General features: G+C 39.7%; 1 protein-coding gene and 1 pseudogene across 30 annotated transcripts in view, besides 1 other annotated feature; one reads left to right on the top strand and one right to left on the bottom strand.

The window, feature by feature from the left end:
- TNPO3 (transportin 3) overlaps positions 1-23638 on the top strand; it is a 102009-nt gene that overhangs the window by 4599 nt on the left and 73772 nt on the right. For 6 of the 30 annotated variants that reach the window (NR_034053.3, NR_167915.1, NR_167926.1 and 3 more), the window contains exon 2: positions 9878-10038. The exons of 23 other annotated variants lie outside the window; for them this stretch is intronic. The gene's annotated coding sequence lies outside the window, so the exon portion shown is untranslated. Of the gene's footprint in view, positions 1-9877; positions 10039-16683; positions 22967-23638 lie in introns of those variants that run through there. One more of the 30 variants, XM_047420092.1, reaches the window with a different exon arrangement.
- On the bottom strand, positions 20650-23013 carry ODCP (ornithine decarboxylase pseudogene; annotated as a pseudogene).
- Positions 21675-22175: an enhancer, noted in NCBI's record as "H3K4me1 hESC enhancer chr7:128669474-128669974 (GRCh37/hg19 assembly coordinates)". NCBI's record gives its function as "activates a minimal SCP1, AML or CMV promoter by ChIP-STARR-seq in primed H9 embryonic stem cells {active_cell/tissue: H9 hESC(primed)}" and the evidence as "EXISTENCE:reporter gene assay evidence [ECO:0000049][PMID:30033119]".

Here is a 23638-nt window from a genome sequence, read left to right as displayed (position 1 = left end):
GGAGTCCAAGGTGGAGGATCCCTTGAGCCCAGGAGTTCAAGACCAGCCTGGGCAACATAGCGAGACCTCATTTCTACAAAAAAATAGGAAAATTAGTTGGGTGTGGTGACATTTGCCTATAGTCCCAGCTACTCAGGAGGATCCCTTGAGCCCAGGAGTTCAAGACTGAGTGAGCTATGATTTCGCTACTGCACTCTAGCCTGGGAAACAGCAAGATTGTACAAAAAAAAAAAAAAAGTCACCACACCTCCAAATCACTGATTCAGACATTCTGCTGTGATCATAACCCACTGTTTTCCAGTTTGCTGGCTCAAAAATATCAAATAATGTCACCTAGTTTTTTTTGAAATCTTTATGTAGTTTTACTAATATTTAAGTTTTATTTTTAAAACAAAATTTTGTGGAACCTTTTTTTTCCTGTTGGTAATCAAATACCTCTTTTTTTTTTTAACATTTTGTTTTCTGGGTATCCACAATAAGTCACCCTCAAATCTCAGTACTGTAAATATCCTCATTGTTCAGACTGGTGATTTGTTTTCTTTTTTGGCTAAAGGAAATATGTATCCCAAGAGCCCTCCATTTCCCTGCTCCAGTCTGGCCTGGTTCGCTAGGTCTGTTGGATAATTACTGTCATGGGATTCCATAAACACTGTCCTAGGGAATTCCCTTTGCCTCTTTGTTGTGCTGGATCCACTGATTCTTGGATTCCATGATGTTTTCTTGGGTTACTCTTCCATTTAATGGATCATCGAGAAGGGAACCTTCATCCTTTCTCTCATTGCTTTTCTGTTGGTCTGTTTTTCTTGGGCTGCTTTTACCTTGAGTTCTCTAGTCAGCCTGGGGGTTATAAGCTAGACTGCCAGTGTTCTAAAGCCAGTTCAGGGAATGAAGCCAGGGGATGGATCTCACAACTAAGTATGTAGGTTTTAATTTAATCTCTTGTTTTTCAGCATGATACTCCTGTCTTTAGCTGAGTCTGTTGTCTAAGAGTCCAGAGACCACCTACTTCAATCTTTCCACAGTAAACCTTGAGTCTTCTGTTATGGTGGGAGAGTAGTAGCCTGGTTGCTCAGAGTCAGAGAGGAAATTTAGGAGTCTACTGCTTCTTACACAGATTTTGACCCTTTTATTTATTTAAACTTTTTTCTTTTTTTGTTTTAAGGCTGCATTACTAGCCGATTCCCCCCCCACCCTTTTTTTTTTTTTTTTTTTTGAGACAGAGTCTCGCTGTCTCCCAGGCTGGAGTGCAGTGGCGCCATCTCAGCTCACTGCAAGCTCCGCCTCCCGGGTTCACGCCATTCTCCTGCCTCAGCCTCCAGAGTAGCTGGGACTACAGGTGCTTGCCACCATGCCCAGCTAATTTTTTGTATTTTTTAGTAGAGACAAGGTTTCACCATGTTAGCCAGGATGGTCTCGGTCTCCTGACCTTGTGATCTGCCCACCTTGGCCTCCCAAAGTGCTGGGATTACAGGCATGAGTGACTGCGCCCAGCCCACCCCACCTCACCCTTTTTAAAAAAAGAAAAAAAAGAAAAGAAAAGTTGGGGTCTCGCTATATTGCCCAGGTTGGACCCGAACTCTTGGTCTCAGGCAATCCTCTCTCCTCAGTCTCCTGAGTAGCTGAAATTACAGGTGCACACCACCACATCCAGCTCCACTCCTTTATTTTTTGTTCCGCCTGTGCATCTGCCTTCAGATGTACCTGTGCTTCCAATTCCCCAGTCTTCCTGGGTTTTGCAACATGAATAGTTTGTCCCTTGCCTTCCCTATTCTCGTCTCATCCTCCCTCCCCACCCCCAGGCAAATATCAGCCTTTTCGGATCTGCTAAGACAGTTAACACTGTCCTTTAGCTTTCCAGTTTCCACAGTTCTATTGATATCTGTCACCTGTTTCCATTTTCTTTGTCTTTATGTGTTTTTGCCTTTTTTAAAAAAGATCTTTACTCTGATTTTTATTGGATTTTTGGAAGGACCTGAAAGCAGACAGCTGTGTTCAATCAGTTAGTTTAGTCATTTTAAACAGAAGTCCCTGCATTAGTTCTTGAATTTTATCAAAACCTCAGTTCATTGACTGTTCCTTACTTCTTCTTTATTAGGTCTTCTTGTTTTTACTTCTCTCCTTACCAAATGTGGATTCCAAGATCTATCATTCTAGTCATTTTATAAATACACCATCACCTTTCCCCTCCAATTTGGTCAGACTTCAGCATGGTTGTATGCAGCTGCTTCTCCTCTTGTCAGATCTAGGTGCTTTGCATCTCTCAATCTTCTGAAATTTCTGGGACCTTGATCTTTTGGTTTATCCTATGTCTTGTCTGCATCTTTAGACTCCTTTACTGAGTCTTTCCCATCAGCATCCAAATAGCTGAAATATTTCTCATAGTACACAAATATTTTGGGGTAGAGTGGATGCCGCCTTTGCCCAACTTTACTTTCTTCTCTGCTTTTACCCTTTCCCAACCCTTTCTTCAAATGCAGAAACTAACTCATCTTTTGAAAGCCCAACCTAAATTCTGCTTTCTCCTTCAAGGCTTACCTGCTTCTCTTCAGCCAAAAGTGATTTCAGCCCCCAATGAATGCCTAGAGAACTTTACTTCATTGTGTTTGCCTTTTTATAAACCTTTTTGAAAATAAGTGTTTTGCCTCCCCTACTAGACTGGGATTCTTGTCACATTTGTTTATGTAGTCCAATACCCATAGTTGAAGAAATAAACCATGGTTATTAAGATAAACAATCAAGACACTTCACACACAGGTTCTTAAAAATGTTGATTGTCAGAAGTGCATACATGCAGATACTCAGTTGGATAACTCACATTTTTCTTTATCTGCGAGTTTTATTTATTTTTGCTGTCACTTTTCACCATATACATGGTTAAAAATAAACAATATTCAGCACCTTTAATGCTCTTCAGTCTTTCCAGTCTTTTTTTTTCTTTCTTTTTTTTTTTTAAATCCTTTATGAGATGTATATGTTGCCCTCATTTCATACTTGCAAATATTCAGGTACAGAAAGGGAGAGGAACTTTTTGACTCAATAAGGCTCTCTTTGTTTATTTATTTTTTGAGACAGAGTCTCACTCTGTTGCCCAGGCCGGAGTGCAGTGGCACCATCTTGGCTCACTGCAACCTCCGCCTCCTGGGTTCAAGCAATTCTCTTGCCTCAGCCTCCCAAGTAGCTGGGACTACAGGCACATGCCACCATGCCCGGCTAATTTTTGTATTTTTAGTAGAGATTGGGGTTTTGCCATGTTGGCCAGGTTTGTCTCAAACTCCTGGCCTTAAGTGATCTGGCCGCCTTGGCCTCCCAAAGTGCTGGGATTAGAGGTGTGAGCCACTGCACCTGGTCTATTTATTTAGTTTTTTGAGACAGGGTCTCACTCTGTTACCCAGGCTGTGGAGCGCAGAGGTGTGATTACTGCTCACTGCAGCCTTGCTCACCTGAGCCTGGGTTCAGGTGATCTTCCCACCTCAGCCTCTTGGACAGCTGGGACTACAGGCATGCACCACCATACCTGGCTAATGTTTTGTATTTTTTGTAGAGTCAGGGTCTTGCCATGTTGCCCAGGCTGGTCTCAAGCCCCTGGGCTCAAGCACTTCTCTCACCTCAGACTCCCAAAGTGCTAGGATTACAGACATGAGTCACTGTGCCTGGCCAAGGCTCTCTTTAAGTGGTCACTAAATGGCATTTGTAACCAAAAGTAATGTGTGTGGTGGTTTTTTTCTTTCCGGAAGATTTTGTCTACTGGAACAAAAGCGTGTTTTAACTGTAGTAATAACTATAGTGTTTTAACATCCATTTGAAATTGGTAAGGCATAGAATTTGTGTGGTTTGCTAAAAAACTACTTTCAAGAATATGTATTTGTGAAACTATTATCCTTATTCTTCTCTACCACCCCACCTAACTAATCCGAGAGTAATTGAGTATAGTTCGAATGACCTGGTGACAGTAGACGTGGTATAGAGGTATAATTTGAATATGCTTTAGCCTGTACTGTGAGTTAGCATCTTTTCTCTTTCTCTAATATTTGTATAAAACAGCCATTTTCTGAAGAATCTGTATTCATTGCTCTAAACTTCCACCAAAATTTTTGGAGATGTACAGCCATGGTTGTTTTATGTGATAGATAGATATCACTGATAACTTCAAAGTGTTCTGAAAGAGAGTATTTTGAGGCAGATCTTAAAGGAATCTTAGTAGCCTGTCCTGTATATTTAGTAGTTTCATTTGTCCACCCCTACTAACCAAAATTAGTAGAAGTTGTAGAGAGCTATTGAAGGAAAGACCATCTCTTCATAGGGCCAATTACTTAAGCGACTCAGTTATAAGTTTTTAATTTAAGTTGTAAGTAGGAGATAACTTTTACAGAGACAATCTTTGGGTTAGATATTACCTCAAAAGTTTTATAGTTCAGTATGGAAACTGAATAGGCATGCTTCAGCATGGGTGTATGCAGCTTTTTGATGGAAAGCATCAAAAGCACAAAGCAGATGAAGTAAAGTCATGCTTTGATAGACTAAGTTGGCATTGTCATGTTTGGTTTATCACATGTCCATAGGAATTTTCTTCTTAGATATCATATCAGAAAGGTCTTGGGTTGATATGGTTTGGCTATGTCCCCACCCACATCTCACCTTGTAATAATACCCCCCGATTTGTGGCAAGGTGGGGCCAGGTAGAGGTAATTGAATCATGATGGGGGGTTCCCTCATACTGTTCTTGTGGTAGTGAATAAGTCTCACAAGTTCTGATGGTTTTATAAATGTGAGTTCCCCTCCACAAGCTCTCTCTTGCCTGCCGCCATGTAAGACGTCGCTTTGCTCTTCCTTCGTCTTCCGCCATAATTGTGAAGCCTCCCCAGCTATGTGAAACTGAGTCAGTTAAACCCCTTTCCTTTATAAATTACCCAGGCTTGGGTATGTCTTTATTAGCAGTGTGAGAACACATTAATACATGGGTCATGGAATATCAGCTTCAAACTTCTTTGCTAGTACTTTTCCTTTTTGGAATTTATTGATTCTTTAGCCTGGTTATAAAACCTAGGGTTTTTGGCTTTTCTCTGGTCATTACTGATTTATCTTGAAAGTTTAGGCATTTTTTGTGTGTGCTTATGCTTGCACCTTCCAGTCAAAACATGCTTTTGAAAGGAAAGCCTTCTAGAAAATAGAAAATATTCCTATACAACTTCAGTAGATGAGTTCAGTCTAGGAATACTCTGTGCCTTGCACTGATAGAAACTGGGAGTATGTAAATAATGAAAACCAAAGATCTTTCTCCCAGAGAGTGTACCAATGTAGCTGTGTCATCCAGTGTAGTAGCCACCAGTCTAGTGTGACTATTTAAACTTAAAATTAAGTAAAAGTTAAAATCAGTTTCTTTTTTTTTTTTTTTTTTTTTTGAGACGGAGTCTCACTCTGTCACTCAGGCTGGAGTGCAGTGGTGCAATCTTGGCTCACTGCAACCTCCACCTCCCGGGTTCAAGCAATTCTGCCTCAGGCTCCCGAGTAACTGGGATTACAGGTGCATGCCACCATGCCTGGCTAATTTTTTGTATTGTTAGTGGAGATGGGGTTTCACTGTGTTAGCCAGAATGGTCTCAATCTCCTGATCTCGTGATCCACCCACCTCAGCCTCCCAGAGTGCTGGGATTACAGGCATGAGCCACTGCGCCCGGCCTAAAATCAGTTTCTTATTTGCACTTACCCACATTCCAAGTACTGTACGGTACAAATATAGAACATTTCATGTCTTTGAAGTATTGGAGTCTATGTTTGTGATTTTGTGACAGTATTTCTGTTGCCATGGTAGTCTGTTATGTGGTGGCATTTCTCCATATTTTGATTAGTTTCTTGTCTTGCCAGGCCTTGGGCCAAAGTTGATAGTTTGATTTAGGATGTAAAATTATCAGGGTACTACTATATTTTCTAATTACAATAGTTTTTCCAAAGTTTTTCAGATATTTCTTCAGCATTCTTTTACAGTGATTGATTGCACTGATGTTTATGGAGGAAATGGAAAGTAGGTTTTATAGATTTTTTTTTTTTTGTGGCAAAACATTCAAAACATAAATTTAGCATTTTAACGTTTTTTTTTTTTCTGAGACAGGGTCTTGTTCTGTTGCCCAGGTTGGAGTGCAGTGGTGCGATCATAGCTCACTGCAGCCTTAAACTCCCAGGCTCAAGCTATCTTGCCTCCTCAGCCTCCCAAGTAGCTGGGATTACAGGCATGAGCTACCGTGCCCAGTCATTTTAACCATTTTTAAGTGTGCAGTTCAGTGGTATTACATACATTGACATTGTTGTGCAACCATCACCATCATCCATCTTCAAAACTTTTTCATCTTGTAAAACTAAATCTATGCCCACTAAACAAAATAGGTGCCCATTTGCTCCCCGCCCCAATCCCTGGCAACCACCATTCTACTTTCTGTCTCTATGAATGTGACTATTCTTGGTACCTCATGTAAGTGGAATCATACAGTATTTAGCCTTTTTGTGATGGGCTATTCTCACTTAGCATAATATCTTCAGGGTTCATCCATGTGCGTAGCATTGTCAGAAATTCCTTCCTTTTTAAGGCTGAATAATATCCCGTTGTATGTATATATACCACGTTTGGCTTATCCATTTATCCATCAATGGACACTTGCTTGCACCTTTGTGAATAATGCTGCTATGAACATGGGTGTATAAATACTTGTGGGAGTACCTGCTTTCAATTCTTTAGATATACAGTATACCTAGAATTAGAATTGCTGTATCATATGGTAATTCTATATTTATTTGTTTACTTATTTGGGGGAACTGCCATACTGTTTCCCAGATTTTTAAGCTCTGTTAAACTTAAAAACAAATTTATTTCTTAGGAAGTTGATATTACTCAGACTACCTGTCCTGTATTTCCCTCACTTGTACCATGGTGCTGAAATGTTACCAGAGAGTATTTTTACAGCTGTATAGGTGAAGCCTCTAAGATAAACCTTATTTCTCTTTACTGGAAGTTAACAGTATTGCTACAAGGGATAGTTTTGTAGTGTTTGTTATGTACATACTCTTAAAAGTACTAATTTAATTTTCTTCTTCTGGTAGAGTATCCAAAATGAAATTAGAAAACAAGTATTTTTCCTTTTGGTGGGTTTTCTGTTAACAGAGTTTGCATAATGGTTTTTACTTATTTTTTTCTCAAGCCCACAGCACAATTCTTTTTTCTATTTTGTGTTCATTGCTTCCTAGTTGTATTTTCTGTCTCAGTCATAGTGTAATATTTTAACAGTTATCTTCAAAGCAAGAGAATATATTTGGAACTAGACATGAAAACATAGATGTTTTGAGCAAGGCTCCATCTCAAAAACAAAAAAACTAAAAAAGGCCAGGCGCAGTGGCTCATGCCTGTAATCCCAGCATTTTGGGAGGCCAAGGCAGGCAGATCACTTGAGGTCGGGGTTCAAGAAAATATACATGCTTTTATATAAATAAGCATTCAGAGATTTAATTACCACTTTAATGCGTTATTACAATACTTTAAGTTAGACATATTACATTTATGTAAGTTTGAAAAATTTGAGTCTTAAGCACTGTTAACATATGCTTTGTATGTACAATAGAATTCTCATCTGGTTTATATGGGTTATAAAACTGAGCAGGTAGGCAGAAATAGAGACCAGTGTTGAAAGAAGATAAATTTTCTGTATTTTGGCTTTCAGGAAGCCTTTGCATGGGCTAACCATTTGTTTCAAATGAAATGGTTTCAAGCTTGGCATTTTCTATTTTTAAAGCAAGACTGCCTAGTATAAATAAGGCCCACAGTGAAAAGATTATCGAGTAATGCTTGACTTGGTCATTCCCAACTGAAGTTGGCTTTATGGATCTAAATTTATTTGTCTTTTTCAGGGCCATTCTTGAGATTAATACCAACATTCATAGGTAATTGAGGATTATTATTTTGGATAGGGATTCTTGTCATGAAAAAATTGGGGCAAGATATCTTAGTACCATCTTATGTGTGACCAACAACTATGTAGTTCAGCCAAAATTCATTTGTCAGAGGTCATTATGATATAGGATTATTTAAAAATGCTTGTCTCAGAACTTCTGGGATTTCAAAGAATCCGGGAAGACCCCACTGTGCAGTGCTGTCATTGGCCTTATTGATTCCTTTCTTTTATTTTGATTCAATTTCAGTTTATTTTAGAGATAGGGTTTCACTCTGTCACGCAGTCTGGAGTGCAGTGGCAGGATCACAGCTCACTGTAACTAGGGCTTCAGTGATCTTCCCACCTCAGTCCCCTACCCCCACCCCCTGAAGCTGAGACCAAAGGTGCGCACCATCACATCCTGCTAATTTTTTTTTTTTTCCTGTAAAGACTGGGTCTTGCTATGTTGCCCAGGTTGGTGTAGAATTTCTGGTCTCAGGTGATCCTCCCACCTTGGCCTCCCAAGGTGCTGAGATGACAGGTGTGTGTCATTGCACCTGACCCTTCCTTTTAAGTAATTGTTTTTAGCTACGAATATCTTTCCTCCTAAGGAAAATACTTGTTTTCCTTTTGATTATATATTTAGCTCTTATGGAGATGGCTGTGAAAATGTAAGTTGACTGAACTTACCTCTATAAGGGAACTTTTTTGCTTCTAGAAAATGTATTTATGTATACCCAAGTGTATTTTGTGAATCTGGGAGCTTGCTAGGAGATTTATGATTACTTTTCTTTTACAATTTTTTTTTTTTTTTTTGGAGGATGGGAGTTGTTTTATCACTGCTTTGGTGAAGATATTAGCTAAGTTTGATTTCATCTTGGTTTCTGTGTTTCAGGCCATCTTGCAAAAGAAGTTATATTGAAAAATATTTTTAGGTAGTGATGGTTATCTTATGTGCCCCTCAGTTTATTTTTTTCTTAATTAGTATCCTTTCAAACCATTTTTCTTCCCACTGTCCGAGAAAATTATCAAGAAGTAATTTGTTGTAACAAATCTAGCAATTTATCTCGTTTTGTAAAATTCTCATAAAGGATTAGATAAAAGAAGTTAAGGTAGTTGATGACTTAAAAAATTACTTTTTCTGTTTGAGGTAAATTAGACTTGTTCTTTCTTTACCCGTCTCATGAAAATGATTTTTTCTTGATATGGGAAATTCTGACTTTTCTAGCTCTATACCACATGGTTGCAGGGCATATATCTAAAATATTGTTTTGTTTGACCGATTTGTAGTTTTCTTTTTAAGAGTTCTTTTTACTCTGTGTTCTGATGTAGTCTTCCTTCCCAGAACTTTCCCCAATATACTATAAATCTTTGAAAATCTTCATTTAGTAAATAATATCGTTCACTCATCGAAATGCTTAAAAAATGCAGCAACCTGACACTTATGTTACTTTTCAAGTGTTATTGAATTATCTGTATTTCCAGAACTTTATTTTCTATTTGCCAGAGCTCTTTGGTACTCAGTGAAGTATTTTAGGTAATTCTGCTTAATTTGAGGAGTTTTTGTGTAGGATTAACTAGCAGCTGTAATCTGCTTCTAATTCTTGGCAGCTAATGAGTCCTTAGGCGCCTGTCTGGGTGTGTGCTTGCATTGTTGAGGGCCTGCTCAGTGATTTTGGTTGATTTGGCAGTTTTAGAAATGTTAGTATAGAAGTGAGTCTTGGAGCAACAGTGCACCATTAAACAAAAAAGGGAGCAAGTACTTTAGGATCTGCTGTGAAGTATAATGAAGGGCTTAGAGCATGTTAGTGAAAGGATTGCTGGGCCATAGCCTGCCTCATATTCATCACATAGTCATGGAAATATCTTTTGAAAAGACTGATATAAAGGCCTGTTCTGCTACTGCTTTGTGAAATGGAAGATTGGAATTAGATGCTTAAATGGAAAATGTTCTCTTGTTGCAGCCTCTTTGAAATGTGCTGCTAGTGGGAGCTGCAGCTTCCTCCTGCTGACTCTGAGCCCCAGGCTTCAGTTGAGATGGTCCTTTCAGAAATGTGGAGCTTAGTCCAAGCCTGGATTTCAGTGGGTAGCACCTGGCATCTGTGGCTAGAAAGTCCTATGAAGTGTAAGTGCTTTATTCTCTCCTTATAAAGAATCCCTTTTCCTTCCTTGATTCTCTTCCTTCCCTTCCTTTTTTCTGCTGTTTAGCAGAGGGGAAGAACAATGAGCAATGTACTGTAGTTTGTAGGGTATCAGGATTTGGTTGAATTTTCTTTATGACTCAGTAGCCAAAACAAGATTTCATTTTGTTTTCTTTTTTGAGACAGCATCTCACTCTGTCACCCAGGCTGGAGGGCAGTGGTGTGATCGTAGCTCGCTGCTGCCTCCAGCTACTGGGCTCAACCAATCCTCCTGCCTCAGCCTCCTGAGTAGCTAGGACTACAAGTACACCATGCCTGGCTGATTTTTAAATTTTTTTTAGAGACAGGATCTTGCTATGTTGTCTCCAGGCTGGTTTTGAACACCTGGCCTTAAGCAAGCCTCCTGCCTAGGCCTCTGAAAGCTCGGGGATTACAGGTGTGAGCCACCATGCCTGGCTGGATGTCAACAATTCTTAAACTCTCCTGGAATTCAAAATAAAGTGATAATTATGACCCTTAACATTTAGTATGGGCAATGTCATCACGGGTGATTTTTCGTTGACGATGTACTTAGCAGTAGCCTTGATACCCAAGTTTGCCAAATGATTCTTTAGGGGTCACTCTCATATTTAGTTATTATTCTGAAAAAACTAATACAGTATTTGAAAGGAGAAGTGCATTTGACCAGTGGGTAAGACAGTATCAAAGTAAATAAGGGTGCTTGAATTTAGAAGATAGTGCCTTCCTTTTGCTTCTACTTGATACATTTGCACAAGAGTAAGTCAATGATTTTTCTAAGACTAATTTCCCATAGCATTGTCCTGAGAAATTCATATAGCTGCCATCCATAGTTTAGGTTAAAAAAAAACCCAAACTAGATAATAACATAATGAGCATTAAAAGGTGCAATTTCCAACTTGCAGAAAAATAATTTTTTTAACGAGAGGTAATTTTCTTACATAAAGTGCACCATCTTAAGTGTGTAACTCAATTTTTTTCTTATATGTATATTTTAAGTAATCGCAAATAACATCAAGGCATAGTACATTCTATTACTCTAGCAGATACCTGAATGCCTCTTCCCAGTAAATCATTCCCCTCCCATAACCACTATTCTGACTTACATCACCACAGATTTGTTTTGCCTGTTTTTTAAAAAATAGCTTTAGTGAAATATAGTTCACACAACTACATTTCACTCATTTAAAGTATACCGTTTAATGGTTTTTAATATAGAGATTTCTTTATCCATCAAGTTTTGGACATTTTCTTTTTTTTTTTTTTTTGAGATGGCGTCTCGCCCTGTTGCCCAGGCTAGAGTGCAGTGGCACGACCTTGGCTCACTGCAACATCTGCCTCCTGGGTTCAAGTGATTCTCCTGCCTCAGCCTCCTGAGTAGCTGGGATTACAAGTGTGCACCACCACGCCCGGCTAATTTTTGTATTTTTAGTAGAGACGGGGTTTCACCGTGTTGGCCAGGCTGGTCTTGAACTCCTGACCTCAAGTGATCCACCTGCCTCGGTCTCCCAAAGTGTTGGGATTACAGGCGTGAGCCACCATGCCCAGCTGGACATTTTCATCATACCAGAAAGAGACCTGTACCCCTTGGCCTGCCACCTCCCACCTCATTGCTAGGCAGCTACTAATCTACTTTCTGTCTGTAGAGTTTTGCCTATTCTGGATATTTCATATAAATGGAATCATATAGTTCATGATCCTTTGTGACTGTCTTCTTTCAGTTAGTATGATGTTTTCAAGGTTCATCCATGTTATAGTATATATTATTACTTCACTCCTTTTTATGGCTGAGCAGTATTCCATTCAACATATATACCACATCTTATCCATTCATTGGTCAGTGGACATTGGGACTGTTTCCACTTTTTGGCTATCGTTTGTGAATAGTGCTATAATGCATTCATGTACAAGTGCTGTTGAAATTTTTGGATTATATGATAACTCTTATTTATTTATTTTTTTTTAGACAGAATCTTCCTCTGTCACCCAGGATGGAGTGTGGGGGTGTGATTTCTGCTCACTGCAACCTCTGCCTCTCCAGCTCAAGCAATCCTCCCGCCTTGGCCTCCTGAGTAGCTGGGACTACAGGTGCACACTACCATGCCCAGCTAATTTGTATTTTTTCTAGAGATGGGGTTTCACTATGTTGCCCAGGCTGGTTTCAAACTCTTGGGCTCAAGCGATCCTCCTGCCTTGGCCTCCCAAAGTGCTGGGATTATAGGTGTGAGCCACTGTGCCTGGGTGATAACGCTCTATTTTTAACCTTTCAAGGAATGGCATCCTGTTTTCAAAATGGCTGTACCATTTTACACTCCTACCAGCAGTGTATAAGGGTTCCTGTTTTTCTGCATATTCACTAGTACTTGTTGTTGTCTGTCTTTTTGATTATAGCCATCCTGGTGGGTATGAAGTGATATCTCATTGTGGTTTTGATTTGCATTTCCTGATGGCTAATCATGTTGAGCATCTTTTCGTATGCTTTTTGACCATTCGTGTATCTTTGGAGAAATGTCTATTCAAGTTCTTTGTCCATTTTTAAAAAAACTTTTAGGTTCAGGGATACACATGCAGGTTTGTTGTATAGGTAAAGCTGTGTCATAGGGGTTTGTTGTACAGATTATTTTGTTACCCAGGTGTTAAGCCCAGGACCCATTAATTATTTTTTCCGATCCTCTCCCTCCTCTCAACCTCTTACCTCCAGTTAGTCCCAGTGTCTGTCTTCTTTGTGTTCATGTGTTCTCATCATTTAACTCCCACTTATAAATAAGAACATGTGGTATTTGGTTTTCTGATCCTGTGTTAATTTGCTAAGGATAATGGCCTCCAGCGCCATCCATGTTCCTGCAGAGGACATGATTTCATTCTTTTTTTATGGCTGCATAGTATTCCATGGTGCATATCTACCACATTTTCTTTATCCAGTCCACTGTTGTTGGGCATTTAAGTTGATTCCATGTCTTTGCTATTGTGAATAGTGCTGCAGTGAACATTTGCATGCATGTGTCTTTATGATAGAACAATTTATATTCCTTTGGGTATACATCCAGTAATGGGATTGCTGGGTCGAATGGTAGTTCTGTTTTTAGCTCTTCAAGGAATCGCCACATTGCTTTCCACAATGGCTGAACTAGTTTACACTCCCACCAACAGTGTGTAAGCATTTCTTTTTCTCTGCAACCTCACCAGCATCTGTTATTTTTTGCTTTGTCCATTTTTAAATTGGGTTCTTGGTGTCGAATGCTTTCATTTTAGAAATATGGTTTCATTGGCTTTAGAATTCTTTCCTTTTTTTCTTCCCATTTTTTAGCTCTACCTCTCCATGTCTTCTGGCATCCTCATTGTTGACAAGAAGTCTGCTCTAGCTTTTTACTTTTGTTCCTCTGTATTTAATGTGTCCTTTTTCTCTGCTTCCCTTCAGTATTTCTCTTTATCTCTGGTTTTCAGGAGTTTGAGTATGATATATTTAGAATTTGTTTGCTTATTTGGGGGAGTAACATTCTCTGTTGCCCTGGTCTACCCTAGTCTTTAGCATTTCTGTTGTCTGCCATTCTCTCTGGTAGGGCGGCCTCAGTGATCCTAGTTTTTCTTGTGTCATTCATTCTTTGCCTTGCATCTGGCAGGTATTGTGCAAAATAGTTTTTTTTTCCCTTCTCTCAGTGGTAGGAGACCTCTCATGGTGTTGGTAGTATTATTATAGGCTCAAGACTGTTTTATGCCTGTCCCCTAGGGGTAGAGGTTTTTCTTTTACGCTTAGTGCAACTGCAGTGAGTCTTAACCTGTACTTTGAGGGTGACATGCTTTGCTGCCCCCTCCCCGTAGCCTAAGGCTTTTGTTCAGGGAAGGGTTCAGTCAGAGATTTTTGTGCTTTTTCGCAACAGAGGCTCTTCCCCTCCTCCAGGACTGCACCACCAAAGGAGGTGGTCTTCTGCCCTACCCCCAGTCTTTCTCTTGAGTATCTGGTCTGCGAAGGTGATCTGCTGGGTGACTGTGAGTTCTGCTTGTGTCTGCGAGTCCCAGGGGTTCTATATGCTCATCCTAGCCCACATGCAGCCTTTCTCAATTTGTTAGAAGTGTTAGCAGAATTTTTATGAGCTGGTTGCCAGGTGCCCTGAATTTCTTCCTCTGTCCTGTCGTAGATGAGCCAGTGCTTGCCTTCATTTTCCTTGTTAGAGGTCTGTCCTTAGATTTCAGTCAACTTGGTTGCCCTAAGACCTCAACTTTCTGATGCATTTAAGCAAGGTTATTTTGTAGTTTATTTGCTTTCGTGTATTGTTAACTTACGGAAAGCAGTATTGTTTCTGTCATTATATATCTTAGGTGGATGTGGAACTCTTCTGAGGCATTTTTATTCTTCATATATTTTAAATACCACAAGATATTATTGCTTTATATAATCAGTGTTAATTGGATTTACCCATATACTTCACTGCTTTTCCATTGTTCTTCATTCATTCCTGATTTCTGTTTTCTCTTTTCCTGCTAGGATTTCAATTATATGTGTCTTAGCCTTTTTCACTGTGTCCCACATGTCACTTGCATTCTTCTCATTGTTTACCTTCTATCCTTTTTTTGACTTTGTGCTTCAGTCTTTTTGTTTTTTATTGACCTGTTATCAAGCATAGCAATCTATAATTCTTCAGTTGTCTGATTTGCTGTTTGGCCTTTTCTAATGGTTCTTAATTTCAGTTACCGTATTTTTTTACTTCCAGAATTTCCTTTTAATTCTTTTTTATATATTCCATTTATTAATGGAAATTCTCCAGTTTTGTCTTCTAAGTCTTTGCATATATTAATCAGCTATTCATTTTTTCCAACTTTATTTCTTTTAACCTTTTAGAAATACACCTTATAAAGCCCTACTCCTTAAACTTTTCCACTTGTATCTTGTAAGAACAAGGACATTTTTCTAAAATAAACTAAAATGTTGTCACTCTCAAGAAATTTGACATTGATATGATGGTATTATCAGTCTGTATTCAAATTTTCCTAATTGCTCTAGTTATAGATTTCAAGCTTTCTAAAATTTTATTTTCTCTAATCTAGGATCCTTCAAGGGTAATGCTTTTCTTTTGGTTGTTATGTCTCTAGTTACCTGGGTATTTTTTTTTCTTTTATGATGATGATATTAAAAAACAAATCCAAGACAGGTACGGTGGTGCACACCTGTAGCCCCAGCTACACAGGAGGCTGAGGTGGGAGGGTTGCTTGAGCCCAGGAGGCCAGACTGGGCAACCATGTCAAGACCCTGTCCCTTTAAAACATATACACACAGCTGGGTGCGGTGGCTAACGCCTATAATCCCAGCACTTTGGGAGGCCGAGGTGGGCGGATCATGAGGTCAGGAGTTCAAGACCAGCCTGGCCAATATGGTGAAACCCCCGTCTCTATTAAAAATACAAAAATTAGCCGGGTGTGGTGGCAGGCGCCTGGAGTCCCAGCTACTCGGGAGGCTGAGGCAGGAGAATCACTTGAATCCGGGAGGCGGTGATTACAGTGAGCTGAGATCACACCACTGCATTCCTGCCTGGGTGACAGAAGGAGATTCCATCTCAAAAAAAAAAAAAAAAAAAAAGAAAAGAAAAGAAAAAACACACATACCCCACACAAATCCAGGGTGGGCCATTTTGTCTTAGTTTTTAGTATGCCTCACTATTTAGATTTATCTGGTTCTTTTCTCATGATTGCATTCAGGTCAAACATTTTTTGGAAGAATACTGCATAGACGATAATTTGTCATTTTTACTCAATCACATCAGGAGTCACATAAAATCTATTGGTGATGTTTTATTACTTTGGTTAAGACATCAGTTATTTTAGTCTTTGATAATTCATTATCTAGATAATGGTTACTTTGTATTGTCTGTTTCTTTCTAGTTGTTGTCACTTGGTTTTGCTTTTTTTTTCCCCCCGACGTGGTCTCGCTCTGTCATCTAGGCTGGAGTGCAATGGTGTGATCAAGGCTCACTGCGGCCTTGACTTCCTGGCTCAAATAAATGGACCTCCCACCACAGCCTCCAAAGTAGCTGGCATTACAAGCATGTACCACCACATCTGGCTAATTTCTTTTTTTCTTTCTTTTTTGTGTAGAGACGAGGTCTCACTTTGTTGCCCAGGTTGGTCTTGAGCTCCTAGCTTCAAGTGATCCTCCCACCTCAGCCTCCCAAAGTGCTAGGATTATAGGTGTGAGCCAATGTTCCTGGCCTGGCTTTGCTTTTGTTTGATAGATGCTTGATATGTTGTTGTTGTTTTGAGACGGAGTCTCGCTCTTTCGCCCAGGCCGGACTGCAGTGGCTCTATCTCGGCTCACTGCAAGCTCCACCTCCCGGGTTCACGCCATTCTCCTGCCTCAGCCTCCCGAGTAGCTGGGACTACAGGCACCCGCCACCGCGCCCGGCTAATTTTTTGTATTTTTAGTAGAGACAGGGTTTCACCATGTTAGCCAGGATGGTCTCGATCCCCTGACCTCATGATCCGCCCACCTCTGCCTCCCAAAGTGCTGGGATTACAGGCGTGAGCCACCGCGCCCGGCCGATATGTTGTTTAAGAAAAGTTGAAGAGATAAATGATGTTTCCTTCCTGAGATGATTTTCTTTTGCTTCTGGCAGGTCTTTTTTTTTTTTTTTTTTTTGAGACAGAGTCTCGCTCTGTTGCCCAGGCTGGAGTGCAGTGGCGCGATCTCTGCTCACTGCAAGCTCTGCCTCCCGGGTTCACGCCATTCTCCTGCCTCAGCCTCCCGAGTAGCTGGGACTACAGGCGCCCACCACCATGCCCAGCTAATTTTTTTTTTTTGTATTTTTAGTAGAGATGGGGTTTCACCATGTTAGCTAGGATGGTCTCAATCTCCTGACCTCGTGATCCGCCCGCCTCAGCCTCCCAAAGTGCTGGGATTACAGGCGTGAGCCACCGCGCCTGGCCTCGCAGGTCTTTATGACAGGGACAGATCTCTTTGAAATTCAAAAAGTAATTGAGCAGATTCTAAGCTGTGTTTCAACCTTTTTTTGTTTTGTTTTGTTTTCCAAGACAGGGTCTTGCTCTGTCTTCCAGGCTGGAATGCAGTGGCGTGATCATGGCTCACCGCAACCTCTGCATCCTGGGCTCAAGCAGTACTCCCACCTCAGTGTTCCTGCCCACACCCCCCAGTAGCTGGGACTACAGACATGCCATCATGCCCAGCTATTTCACCTTGTTGCCCAGACTGGTCCTGAACTCCTAGGGCTCAAGCAGTCTTCCTGCCTCAGTCTCCCAAAGTGTTGGGATTACAGGCGTGAGCCCCTGTGCCTGGCCTACTTTCTGTTTTTATGAGTCTTGCTACTTTAGGTACCTTATATAAGTTAGAATCATTCAGTATTTATCTTTTAGTGATAAGTGTATTTTCACTTAGTATAATGTCCTTGAGGTTCATCCATGTTGTAATGTGTGTCAGAATTTCCTTCCTTTTGAAGGCTTAGTAACATTCCACTGCATATATATACATTTTGTTTATCCATTTATCCATAGATGGGCATTTAGGTTGCTTCTATCTCTTGGTTATTGTGAATAATGCTGCAGTTGGCTGCAGTTGAACACGGGTGTGCAAATATCTTATCTGTTTGAGATCTTTTTTTTTTTTTTTTTTTGAGTTTAGCTCTGTTGCCCAGGCTGGAATGCAGTGGCATGATCTTGGTTCACTGCAACCTTGGCCTCCCGAGTTCAAGTGATTCTCATGCCTCAGCCTCCCAAGTAGCTGGGATTACAGTCATGCGCCACCATGTCCGGCTAATTTTTGTATTTTTAGTAGAGATGGGGTTTTGCCATGTTGGCCAGGCTGGTCTCGAACTCCTGGCCTCAAGTGATCACCCGCCTCCTAAAGTGCTGGGATTACAGGTGTGAGCCACTGTGCCCGGCCCTGTTTGAGATTTTATATTCAGTTCTTTTAGATATATAGCCAGAACTGGGATTTTTGGAATATATGGTAGTTCTATTTTTAATTTTTTGAGGAGCCTCCATCCCCTTTTCCATAGTAGCTACACCATTTACATTCCCACCAGTGATGCAAAGGGTTCTAGTTTCTCCACATTCTTGATAACACATATTATTTTCTGAGGTTTTTTTGCTTCGTTTTTTTGGATAGTGGTCATTCTATTGGGTGTGAGGTAATATTTTGTTGTGGCTTTGATATGCCTTTCCCTATGGTTGGTGATGTTGAGCATCTTTTCATATGCCTGTTAACCATTTGTATATCTTCTTTGGATAAATATTTATTCCAGAAATGTCATCCAAGAAATCACTGTCAATTGCAATGATTATGAAGCTTTTCCCCTAGGCTTTCTTCTAAGAGTTTTATAGTTTCAGGTCTTACGTTTAGGTCTTTAGTCCTTTTTGAGTTAACTTTCATATGTGATATAAGGGACTAACTTTGTTCTTTTTCAGGTGAATATTCAGTTTTCCTAGCACCATTGTGTAGTCTTGGCACCCTTGACAAAGATCATTTGAATCCTTTACAGGAGGGTTTCTTTCTGGGTCTATTCCATTATATTGGTCTGTGTGTCCATCTTTATGCTAGTACCCATACTGTTTTGATTACTATGGCTTTGTAATAAGTGTTGAAATTAGAAGTATGAGACCTCCAATATTATTCTTTTTTAAGATTGTTTTGGCTATTTGGGGTCTCTTGAGATTCCACGTGAAGGAAACAATTCCATTTTTTGCAGAAAACGTCATTGAGATTTTGGTGAAGGTTACATTGAATCTGTAGATTATGTTGGGTAGTACTGAAATCTTAACAATATTAAGTCTTCTAGTCTGTGAACATGAGATGTCTTTCATTTATTGGTGTCATCTTTAATTTCTTTCAGCAATGTTTTGTAATTTTCAGTATACAAGTCTTTTGTCTCCTTGGTTAAGCTTATTCCTGAGTATTTTATTCGTTTTTATTCTATTGTAAATGGAATTGTTTCTTTTCAGATTTTTCATTGTTAGTATGTAGAAGCAACTAATTTTAATCTGTTAATTTTGTGACCTGCAACTTTGCCAAATTCATTTATTAAGTCTTAACAGTCTTCTTATGGAATCTTTTGGGTTTTCTACAAGTAAGATCATGTTGAATGATCTTACATTATATGTGACCAGAGATTATTTTACATCTTCCTTTCAATTTAGATGTCCTTTGTTTTTCTTGCCTAATTGCTCTGGCTAGAACTTCGAACACTATGTTGAATAGAAGTGGCAACAGTAGATATCCTAGTCTTGTTCCTGATCTTACAGTTTTGAAAAGCTTTTTGTCTTCACTGTTGTGTGATGTTAGCTGTTGGTTTTTGCATATATGGCATTTATTACTTTGAAGTTGTTTCCTTCCTGGTTTGTTGAGTGTCTTTATCATGAAAGGGTGTCAAAGTCTGTTAGATGCTTTTTTTGCATAAATTGAGATGACCATGTCTTTTCCTTCTTCATTCTGTTAATGTGGATTACATTTATTTTCATATGTTGAGCCACCCTTGTATTCCAGGTATAAATCCCACTTGATGATGATGTATAATCCCTTCAATATGCTGTTGAAAAGCCAGGCGTGATGGCTCATGCCTGTAATCTGACTTATTTGGGAGGCTGAGGCAGGAGGATTGCTTAAGGCCAGGAGCTCGAAACCCATCTGGGCAACATAGCAACACCCCATTTCTAAATTTAAAATTTTGAAAATAAAAATTTAAAAATTGAGAAAAAATATGCTATTGAATTCCATTTGTTGGTATTTTATCGAGGGTTTTTGCATTACTATTCATAAGGGATATTATTAGTCTGTAATTTTCTTTTCTTGTTTCTTCATCTAGCTTTGGTATCAGAATAATGCTTGTCTCATAGAATGAGTAGAAAGTGTTCTTTCCTCTTCAGTTTTTGGAAAGAGTTTGAAAAGGATTAATGTTATTTCTTTACATGTTTTGTAGAATTCACCAGTAAAGCCATTTGGTCCTGGGCTTTTCTTCATTGGGAAGTTTTTCATTACTGATTTAATCTCTTGGCAAGTTATAGGTCTGTTCAGATTTTCTGTTTCTTCATGATTTAGTCTTGTTAGGTTATTTTTCTAGGAATTTGTTTATTTCATGTAAGTTATTCAATATGTTCACTTGCATTTGTTCATAATACTTTTTATAACCCTTTTTATTTCTGTAAAATTGGTAGTAATATCCTGACTTTTATTTCTGATTAGTTATTTAAATCCTCTTATTTCTTTCTTTCTTTCTTTCTTTTTTGACATAGAACCTCACTCTGTCACCGAGACTGGAGTGCTTGTGGCATGATCTCGGCTCACTGCAACCTCTGCCTCCCGGGTTCAAGCAATTCTCATGCCTCAGCCTCCCAAGTAGCTGGGACTACAGGCAGCTGCCATCAGGCCTGGCTAGTTTATTTATTTATTTTTTTGTATTTTTAGTAGAGACAGGGTTTCAACGTGTTGGCCAGGCTGGTCTTGAACTCCTGACTTCAAGTGATCTGCCCGCCTTGGCGTCCCAAAGTGCTGGGATTAACAGGCATGAGCCACTGCACCCGGCTCTCTCTTATTTCTTAATCTAGCTTAAGCTTTGTCAATTTTGTTGTTGTTGTTGTTAATTTTGAAATACTTTACTTTTAAAATAGGTCACAACACTAAGCTTTTGGCCCATTCCGCCATTGTACAAGCTACAGATGCTTGCTTAGCAGCCAAGGGGCACTCTTGAGTAGCATATCAGAAAAGTGAATAAAAATCCATATAAAACAAATATTTAAATAGTTTCCATAGGAACATATATAATGTGTGACCTATATCCTAGTCTTCCATATTGCCACATCCGTATGAACCCAACTCTTAAGAAAAGTGAATAAAAATCCATATAAAACAAATATTTAAATAGTTTCCATAGTAACACAAATAATGTGTGACCCATATCCTAGTCTTCCATATTGCCATGTCCATGCGAACCCAACTCTTACGAAATCCCTTAATTCAAGCTGGACTCATGGTTAACAATTACAAGAGTGATATCTACATATTAATACTAGCAGAAGCACAAGTTGCTGATTGATGTTTCATTCTATTTTCCCAAGCAGAAGACACAGGATGCTAATGTCCTGTTCCTCTACTTGGGGTGGGAGATCGTGCTTCTAGATACACTGCATGAGTTTCGATGCTGGTCCTGACATCACATGTAGATTGTTGGCCTCTGGAATCCATTAAAAGTACAAGTAGCAGCAACAGTGTCAGCGCCCATGTTTTTAAAGAGCATCCAATTACCTACATATATTTTGGGCAGATCACAGTGCTCAACAATCTGATCAAGGCCATCACATGTTCTTCCCATATACTGGATGAATAATACTTCTCACTGATCTAGGTCTCTTTTGCAGCAGGGGCTTTACATGTGCATGATCATAAAGGATTGATTAAATGATCCATATACTTCATCATTCATGTAATACATAAAGGTCTGTTCGCTTGACTCATCTTCCTCTTCAGAGCCTGTCTGTTCTTTTTTTTCTTTCTTTCTTTTTGAGACAGAGTCTCGCTCTGTCACCCAGGCTGGAGTGCAGTGGTGTGATCTGGGCTCACTGCAAGCTCCGCCTCTCGGGTTCACGCCATTCTCCTGCCTCAGCCTCCCGAGTAGCTGGGACTACAGGCGCCCGCTGCCGTGCCTGGCTAATTTTTTGGGTTTTTTTTTTAGTAGAGATGGGGTTTCACCGTGTTAGCCAGGATGGTCTTGATCTCCTGACCTCATGAACTATCTCCCTCAGCCTCCCAAAGTGCTGGGATTACAGGCATGAGCCACCGCGACGGCCCTGTCTGTTCTTTTAATATGATTTTTTTGGCAATGAAAGCTGATGCCACATGAAATATCTGCCTGGCTCAGCTGTGACTCTCACTCTAGAGTCTGGTGGAAAATACTTGTCTGATGCTGGGTTGATTACACTGGTAATACTTCAGATTTAAGCCTCACGTCCTCAGATCCAGGAAAGCAACTGCCAGTATTAAGCAGTTACATTCTGAAACCAAACTCAACTCCCGTGTCAAAGACACAGTGGACATTGGAGGCTGCCTGCATGAAGGTCTCAGGATTGGTACAGCTACTTCCTACATGGAAGCTGACACCAGTGACATCAATATTTAGTTCTTTTGCTCATTCCAAAAGAAGCCTGCTGGCTTTGAGCATGGCACCAGATTTAACACTGATGTGACGGGCTGCTTTGAGTGTGTTCTGGCAACTGACATCAACTTGACCTCATTACCGAAAATCATCATCTGGACTCCATTATTGGCAGTGTACTTAATTTGAGACATTTGTTTACAAGAATTTGCATACATAAACCTCTCTGGGGGCATCCCCAGAATCTGCACCAATTGTATTTCAGCCTTGCTAGCACAGTCAAATCCTGTCCCGATGGCAGCAAGAGTCTTCATGATGGCTCTGCTGTCATTATAATTGACTGCATAAAAGGGGGTGACATGAGGAAGAGCTTTTAACTATCTTAGATGTGTCTTTAGAATGTCTCTAAGGTCCATGACATAGAAGGCATCCTAATCATCATCAGAAGAAAATTCATTAATTTTTTGGTCCAGAATGTCCTTGGCAGTAAAACCTTCATCAAGGAAGCAAGTGGCAGTGAAACTCTTCATTATTAAACTCTTCATGGTTTCTTGATGTTCCTCTGAAACACAACAAAATGGAAAACTAAGAGATGGAATTGAAAGAAATATTTCCAGCTTCTCACAAAGACAGTTCTCCAGGAATTCCAAATCCTGCCTCTTGTGCCCTCAGAGCAGCAGTGGAAACATTCTCAGAGCACCTGGGTACCACAGAGAGTGAAGATGCTGCTGTCTGAGCCAGAGCTACAGGACCTCTCTGCTGTGCCTGTCAGTGCCTTACTTCTGCCCGCCAGAGATGCTGGCCCAAGGTAGTGCTGGAGCTGTTGGCAGAGGGGCGGCCAGTGACTGTGGCTGCCGGGACTGACCTTGTTGATCTTTTTGTAGCATTCCCTTGATTTTCCTATCTATTTTGTTAATCTTTGCCCTAAATCTTTATTATTTCCTTCTTTTTGCTAGCTTTGGATTTAGTTTGTTCTTTTTATGGCTCCTTAAGGCATAAAATTAGGTTGTTGATTTGAGACCTTTTTTCTTTTTTAATGTAAGCATATATACAGTTATACATTTTATTCCTCTTAGCACAGTTTTTGCTGCATTCTATAAGTTTTGGTATGTTGTGTTCTTATACTAGTTCAGTTTAGTTCAGTTTTATACTAGATTTTATACTAGTTCAGTTTAATATGCAACATTGGGGTTTTTGTTCTGTTTTATTTTCTAAACATAAACACAGAAACACAATACAAGTGTATAACTTAGTGAATTACTATATGTGGATGTCCTTTTAGCCACCACCCAAGTCAAGAAACATCTTCATTTGTCTGAAGATGTTTTCTGATTTCCCTTCCTTGACCCATTGGTTTTTTGAGTATGTTGTTTAATTTCCACATATTTGGGAAATTTCTAGTTTCCCTTTTGCTGTTGACTCCTAGTTTTATTTAATTGTGATCAGAAAAGATGTTTTATATGATTTCAGTCTTTGAAAA

The sequence above is a fragment of the Homo sapiens genome, chromosome 7 (genome assembly GCF_000001405.40).
Source record: "Homo sapiens chromosome 7, GRCh38.p14 Primary Assembly".
NCBI classification, from domain to species: domain Eukaryota; kingdom Metazoa; phylum Chordata; class Mammalia; order Primates; family Hominidae; genus Homo; species Homo sapiens.
Note: the sequence above shows the minus strand (reverse complement) of the source record. Positions and strands in the feature narration are given on the sequence as shown.